Source organism: Homo sapiens, chromosome 5, assembly GCF_000001405.40.
Source record: "Homo sapiens chromosome 5, GRCh38.p14 Primary Assembly".
Taxonomy (NCBI): Eukaryota; Metazoa; Chordata; class Mammalia; order Primates; family Hominidae; genus Homo; species Homo sapiens.
Window position 1 is genome coordinate 86,542,054 of NC_000005.10, and position 8,213 is coordinate 86,550,266.

The 8,213-nt window shown below is 33.0% G+C and overlaps 1 annotated feature.

Moving 5' to 3' along the window:
• Positions 636-685: a silencer, noted in NCBI's record as "silent region_16158". NCBI's record gives its function as "represses an Ori minimal core promoter by ATAC-STARR-seq in GM12878 lymphoblastoid cells {active_cell/tissue: GM12878}" and the evidence as "EXISTENCE:reporter gene assay evidence [ECO:0000049][PMID:35858748]".

Consider the following 8,213-nt stretch of genomic DNA (forward strand, 5'->3'; position numbering starts at 1 on the left):
GAGTAAAGAAAATATATGCTAAATTTATGGTTAATTCATTTCAATTCCGGCAGTATAACTTAATTCAAGTTGGATGGGACCAGCATAAAGTCAGTTTGTTTATTTCTAATCTATAAATTTTGGATAGCTCTCATTTCTTTATTCATATATCTACCCCTCCAATTTCTTTATGTAAAATTCCAAGATAGAGTGCTACAGACTGAAGCAAGGACAGTGCACCTGCCTCAGCTGTACATGTATTAAAATGTGAACAGCAGCAAGTAGTCCCGGTTAGGCCTGTCATTTGCTTCTTCAAGTCCATGACCAAGGTCTATCAACACCCTATCCCAAATCATCACATATCTAAAAGTATGTGTCACGTTTTCCACAGACTACCAGGATTGTAGCCAGAAATCTGAGAAGGAACTTTCCCTTCCCCAAAGGACTAATGGCTTTCTGTCATAAAAGGAAACAAACCTTTAAAATCTAGAATGCCTCTTAAGACCAAGAAAAAAGGCTTAGTCAACTCAAAGGCAAAGAAAAGCTTTATAAACCTGCCTGCTCTAGGCTAGAGCTGAACCCATTTATGTCCACAGTGAACTCTCAGGCTTCTCGTGATTACCAAGAGGGTTATGGCCCCTGGGCTCACTTAGATCTGCTGTCTACCTCTCACCTTAAGCCTGTCCCCAGGCTGTACCTTTCACATATTAGTATCTGTTAGACATTTGGGTCCCGTCTCACTAGATATTATCGTCATGTTTTCAGTTTTCATATGAATGTTGAAGCAGGTGTAGCCATGAAAAAGAAGCACTAAGTTGAAAGACATTGAAAAATGGAAGTTGTTAAAGACAGTCTGTCTTACTTTCACTCTATAAATTATAATAGTAGATAACATCCACACAGTAAATAATTTTCATCCATATGAAACATCCAGGCTCCTTAACTAATACAAAATGAGATCATTCAAAAAAGAGGGTAGAATCTGAAGGTGTTATCAATATTTAACAGTCAACACTATGAAATAAAATATCCTAACTTGTGTGTTTATAAACACACACACCAAATGAGTTGTTATACTTCACCTATGAAGAAGGACACAAAGAACTTTTAGAAAAATAATTATCCAACAAACTTTCAGTAAAAGACTTTTAGAAACTACATGACACTCCTTTTCTCGAAAGAAAACTTCTTTTGCTAAAATATACAATCTATATCTTGGAACAGATATGTAGGCCTTGATATACTTTGTTTTAAAAGAGTACCTTCAGCCTATTAAATTGATTTTCTTCCTACAAAAAGGAAACAAAGCCAGGTCCAATTTGAGATATTTTCCTGAGGTCTGCCCATAATGATTATAATGATTACAGTATTCAAAGTTTTCTATATTCTCATTTGTTTTTATCAACTTGGTCTGTCAAAGTTGTCAAAACAGAGTTGAAGTTTCCCACTGCTATTGTATTGAATTTCTCCTATAATATTTAGGATCATTGAGTTGTGTGATATAGTAGAAAAGGTATAGACTATAGAAACAGAGCTTACTTTGTACTACTGCTTTATCCTTTGTGAGCTGCATGACTAGTCTTCAGTTTTGTAATCAATGAAAGGGCCTTAGTGATAAAGGTTTTGTAAAAATAAGATAATTCATTTACCATAATGCCTGACATATATTAAACATTCATATTAAGCTATTACCATTAAATATGCTAATTATACTCTTTGAACATGAACGTTTGTGAATTTTCTAGCTTTCATTGTATACTTCGTTTTATCAATTAAAAATAACCTTTAATCACTATTTATTATCTTGATTTTTACTTTGATTAAAATTAATATCCCCACTCTGGTTCCTTTTGGGTTGTTTTTTTTTTTTTTTTGCCCTTAATTTTATCATTAATCTTTCTGTGCCTTTTTGATTGGATTATATTCTAAGTGCAATGGGAAGGAATTAAAAGTGTTTAGGTACATTATTTGACTTACATGTTTAGAAATTTGCTCTGGCTGATGGTTAGCAAATGAATGACCAATGAAGAACACTAAGAAACCATAAAACATTTGAACCACCAAAAAAAGATAGTGACTTGGACTAGGACAGAAGTTATGTTTTGGTTGGGCATGGGGAGAAGGCTAGTAAAGGAAAGAAAAAATTCTAGAATAACTGCAGGTTTCTCAAAACAAGCAATTGGAAGGCCAGTGGTAACATTTATTAAAATGTGAGCCATTCAGAAATAAATAGGTGTAGAGGCCAGTATAGGAAAGAAAAAAATTCTGTAATAACTGCAGGTTTCTCGAAGTCAGCAATTGGAAGGTTAGTGGTAACATTTATTAAAAATGAACCATTCGGGAAGAAATATGTTTTCAGAGGAAGAAATAGAATCTTTTTTTGGTCATGTTAATTTTGAGAATTTATTTGACTTCCTAGTCAAATCAAGAGTCAGGGCAACAATAACAAATGTAAATTAAAGATGGAGATCTAAATTTGGCAGTAACATCACTAGGGAGAGGGTTAGATGATTGTAGATAAAGATGGAGACCCAGGACTAAGCATTCCAATATTTGGTGATTGAACAAACCTGGAGCTCTCAAAAGACACCGGAAAAAAAGCAACCAGAAAAGTAGAATATTCAGCAGTAGAGAAGGAAATACTTCAAGAAGGAAGTAGTAAACTGTGTCAAGTGATGCTAATAAGTAGACTTAGATGAGCTCTGCAATGTGACTATGGATTTTAGCCTTAAGAAATAGATATGGTCTTAATTCTACTAGATTCAGAGGCATGATGATGAAAGAAGTCTAGGTCGAGTGAGTTAAGTGGAGAATAGCAGTAGTTTGAAGAGAATGAAATGAAAACATTAGAAAAGAATGAGTAGACACTTTCCAAGTGTTTCCTTTCTTAGATCACTTACCCATCTTAAGTCATCTCTTAATTCTCTTTTCTCCATATCTACCATCATCTTATACATTTTATCCTTATGTTTCACATTCTAGTTCATCCTCCCACATTGTTTTGCTCTTTGGACACAAAAAGCAGGACCAGGACACACTTTAGTTCTATAATTGAAAATCAAATGTCCTAATATTCCTTTTTAAACCTCAACCAGACTACTTTTAATCTCAACTGATGGTCCATAAAACTCATCTGGCTGTATTACCATCTTAGCCTGTTCTCTTATTATTGCCTCAGCCTCTATATAATAATGAGCATATCCTCTTTTGAAAATATTTTTCCAGTTCCAATAATAAATAATTTTAAAGATGTTTCTTCTGAATCTTCAAGATAATTTCCTCTTTCTTTTTACCTATGGTAATTTTCCTGTAGGCCTCACGGTCCATCTAGCAAAATCCTATGTTTGACAAGATACAATAGGCAGGGCTAGCCCTTGAGACCCCATTTATTTATTTATTTGGGGACTAATTGAAACCCCATCTTAAATCTACAGCCTATGACTCAATGTATATTAATTTTAATCTAACTTCTAATACTCACTAATAATTCTCATAATTTTTTATTAGTTATTAATTCAATTTACCCTGACCAATCCCAGAATTGTAGCATTCTGATTTTGAAAGTTTTGTAGAGCTGTTTGTTATTCCGACTCACCCTTATGCAGATGTTCACTTTGGCAGAAATCATCTACTGTTAACTGCACATTGAATAAATTTAAAGCTCCATGTTGGTCATTGTTACTGTCAGTATCTACTCATTATTTTCAAATGGGAAATGTTATCCGTCTTCTTTAATGAGATTGTTCTTGAAGAGAAATTTTACATTGGCTGTCGAACAGCTCTGCTCAGAAAGGGTCAAATCTGAATTTTAAAATTATACATACCTCCCCAAATCACTGACATATTTTCCTAATCACTGGGGCAAAATTTCAGTTTATAAAAACAATTTCATATATTTACCAAAGCCTAACAAAACACGAAGGACAAATTGATAATTGGCATAGAAAACACAAAATGTGCCAAATTGTTCTTCTAAATATTGAGGGAAAGAGGTTAAACATAATGCTGTACTTTACACTAATGAAAATGTCCAGTATATTCTTTTCCCAGAGCAAAATAACATGTTAATGACTCTGCTCAATGTCATTTTTGTTAATGTGACATCCAAGGAAGCACTCCTCCTGGAGCCATAAACTGTGTTCAAGGACAAAGATCAAAACTGCTTATCCCCTGCTTCTCACTGGTGGCTGTAACTGAAGCCCTGTGTCACAATGACCATCATTACTGTAAGTGGCGCTTAGCCAGTTAGTGTTAGGGCTGTAGCCTATCCTCACTGTTTCCTCTCCTGGGGAACAGGAAATCATGTACTGAAAATTGTTACTACAGCATTCCAGGACTTACAAAAGGGAAGACTCCTTTCCTTTAGCCTGACGACTCCTGAATATTTAATTCCTACTTATTCTTTAAAACTCAAATGTCATGCTTTCACAAGAGCTTTTTTTTTTTTTCAGTGAGAGAATGGAATTTCAGAATCGATGTAGAGGCGGAGCGGATTAGGATAATAATAAGACCTGAGAAGTAGCTGAGCACAGGATTAAGAGAAGGGAGATGGGAATGGTGGTATAAAAATCTTCATCCTAATATCTTCAGTGTGGAGACTGATGATATAAGTCAAAGGACCACTTCGGCTGACGCTATAGTAAGATTGTGGACATGGAACTGAATCATAGGGTCTAGGGCAAACTGTCCTGAATTTATGTGCTTTTCAAGATGGCCGGATATTGCAATATTACCCACTAGACGGCAGTAATCCAACCACCCTGCCTTATTCAGGACTTTGGTATTCCTTAAAAGCACCTTGATACAGCCTGTCCCTTAGCTTCCTGATCTCATTTATCAACCTGGGTGCTGAGTGTTTCCTAGTATATGCTTCCAGTCTTTGCTGTATGTCTCTTAGCTGTTTGATTATTTAAGATATAAACTAAAATATATGTATTTCTTAGTTTGTGCTAAGAACTTTAGATATGACAGGATTGATTGATTGATTTAATTTTCATAACAACTCTCTGAGGCAAGATTATTGTTCCCATTTTAAAGGTTAGGGCACTGAGTAACAGTTTGAGTAATGTGCCTAACTTAGCAAGAAATAAAGCCAAGCCTCAAAAATCAATTTGATTTTGCAATAAAGCCTGTTATACCATTATGCATATAGCCCCATCCGCTCCATTTGACCAAAATACAGTGTCTCTCAGATGTGTGATAGCTTTGGCCAATAGAAAAGAGTTTGTTATTCTCCCATATTCAGAGAAGCAAAGCAGCTACGATGTGTGTGTGTGTGTGTGTGTGTGTGTGTGTGTGTGTGTGTGTTTAAATTTATAGATCCAGCATTTCAATCTAAAAAAGTATTCCCACAGAATAGAAAGTAATGAAAATTTTATCCCCTTTACAATATTTTCAATATTAATTTCAACTCCTAATTTTAATTGTTACAGCTTTGCTAAAATGCATTACTCTTTGCATTTTTAAATATATTTAATGTCATATATGATATGTATTGTATAGATGTTGGTTGGTTTTTAAAAAGGGGCCATGTATAATAACAATAGGACAATGAGCTAAAAATAAGTTGTGTGCACACCATGTTTCTGATTTGGGTGAGGTAAATATAATGATAATTTCTGTTCATGGAGGAAGTAATCATATTTGGACAAATGTTGCATTCTGTTACTATAATATACAATTAAACACAATCAATGTTAATATGTAAAACAAACAAGTTCGTGGGTCAAGGAAATTATTGAAAACTATGTCAGTTATGCTTTAAGACTGTGGACATTCAAATGTTAGCAAATATTCTTGAAAATCATTAGTAATAAAAATGAAAATAAAAGAATTTTTGGTATTAATAATACTAGATAGTATAAATAACTTGATAGTATAAAATTACCCTCATAGAGGTTTTTATGATTATATGATAATTATAAATAGAGTGGAAATCCCAGTAATTATTATATCACTATTATTACCTTCCCACCATTAAATACTTATTATGTGTCTACTAAACATTAAATATTGCCACAACTTTAAGTGGTAGGTAGTTATCATCCTTGTTTTATAAAAAAAAGAAGCTAAAGCTTGTTTTATAAACAAAAAAGCTTGTTTTATAAACATAGACGCTCAGCAAATGAAATCATCTAAGATCACACAGTAAATGGGAAAGTCTATATGGTTAACTAATTTGTGTGTGTGTATGTAAAATACATGGAACTTTACAGAAGTTGGTATTCCAAAAACCTTCTACATTTATTTTGCCTACATATAAAGCTAGCTCAATCCAAACATATAGAAGCTTTCATTGTATTTACAAATATATCACTTTTTTCCTAAATGTCATAGTGGATTTTCTATATAGCGCCTAGCCTTCCCATCCCATTTGGAATTTAACCAATTTTGTTTTAATTGCATTGATGCAACTCTATGTTTTTTAAGTATTACAATAATAAATACATATTAGAGAGATATATTACCATTATAAAAGTATTTTGTGGCCAAGAAAAATAAAGCAAGGCATTAAACACAGAATTTAGAGATTTTTGAGTAAAGATCATTAGTTAGGTTTGTTTAGATTGAAAGTGACTGAAAAATCATTACCTTACAGCTTCCTCATCACAGTTCTATGTGAAATGAGTAGGTGAGACACTTCATTTCTTTAAAAATAATCCCTGTCAAAAATCATAAAACTTTGCTATCACAACTGACATTAATTGGCATCCTTGTTAGCACTCTCCAAAGAGAGGTCAAAACTGGATGTTCATAGAAGCTGAATTGCCCCTTCTTATAAGTGGTTCCTCTGGGTTAAAGAGAAGAGACATGGAAACCTTAGAAAAAGTTTGGCATGTACCTTTATTATAAGAAAAACAAGAGACATTCTTGTTGAACTGTGAGCATTGATTGTTTGACATCGTGGTAGAGCATTATACATGAAACTTACAGACAGATGTCTAAGATAACTAAAAAGATCAGATAATAGTAATACAATTTCCCAGTTTTGCACCCAAAGTATTTGAAGCTAGATGTGGATTTTTATAGAATTTCAGAGAGGTTTGTGGGAGGTGGACATTTTATAAGGGGAAAAGAGTGCATATACCTTATGTTATGTAACAGCCCAGTAGGGTAAAAGGCAGAATACTGTTAATATTTCTAAAAATATATATATGAATATGCATACCAAGTAAATAAAGAAAAGCTATAAACATCCTCATGTCAATTCAGATCAAAGTTTGCCACCAAAACAATGAATTCACATAAGGTTAAATTTTGCTGCCAAATACATTATGAAAAAAATGCTATTATAGGAGATTTTATAATTACTGAATTGCAGATATAGTATTATATAGTTGTACAAAAATTAGGATTATTTGGCTATAAGGAAAAGAAGATTGAAAAGTCATTAAATATAGACTTTATTTGTTAATTTATATTTTCAACAAATGGTTATCAGGCACCTACTATTTGCCAGTTACAATGACAGGAAAACACGATGACAAGACAAATGTGGCCCTACATTTGAACAGTGTTTTATTATCAGCTTTATTCATCTCCACTGAAGCCAGAAAAGAAAGCAAACATTTTAAATGTACCTAAGAAAAATGAAACAAAATAAAAAATAATGCTTCTCATTTCCATATTTAAATGCAGGAAAATGTTATCACAGAAGCTTATGGAATCTACTCGCCTTGGGAAATCTTAAAAGATGTATCATCTGTCTTAGATGATTTGGAGTCAATCGAACCAACAATGTGGCTCCTTAAGGCACCAATTCAACAAAGATTCTACACTCAAATTAATTTTCCCAAACTTGATTCTAATTACTTCTTATAGTATAATAGATTTTTTACAGTACCTTCAATGTTTATAGATACAGTTATTTTGCACAGACAGAAACAAATCTAAATAACCACAAATCAAGAGATTTGATGCACATAAATCAACAAAAATCCAATTAAATTTTAGCTAGCTAAACTGACTAAAAGTAAAAAATAAATACAAATATGAACTCGTAGATGAAGAAGTCAATGTATTAATTCTGAATGATCTCCTTTTGAATTAAGAATTTTATGACAAATGGAAATAAAGCACTATCATTGCCATTTGAAATATAATAATGAGGACATTGGTGGTGGTGGTAGTGTTTTAATATCCACAAACCCGTGACTCAGACAGCCAACAATATAAGCACCCATCCCACTGTTAATTATATGGAAACAACATTTTCTATTCTACATCCTTCTTCT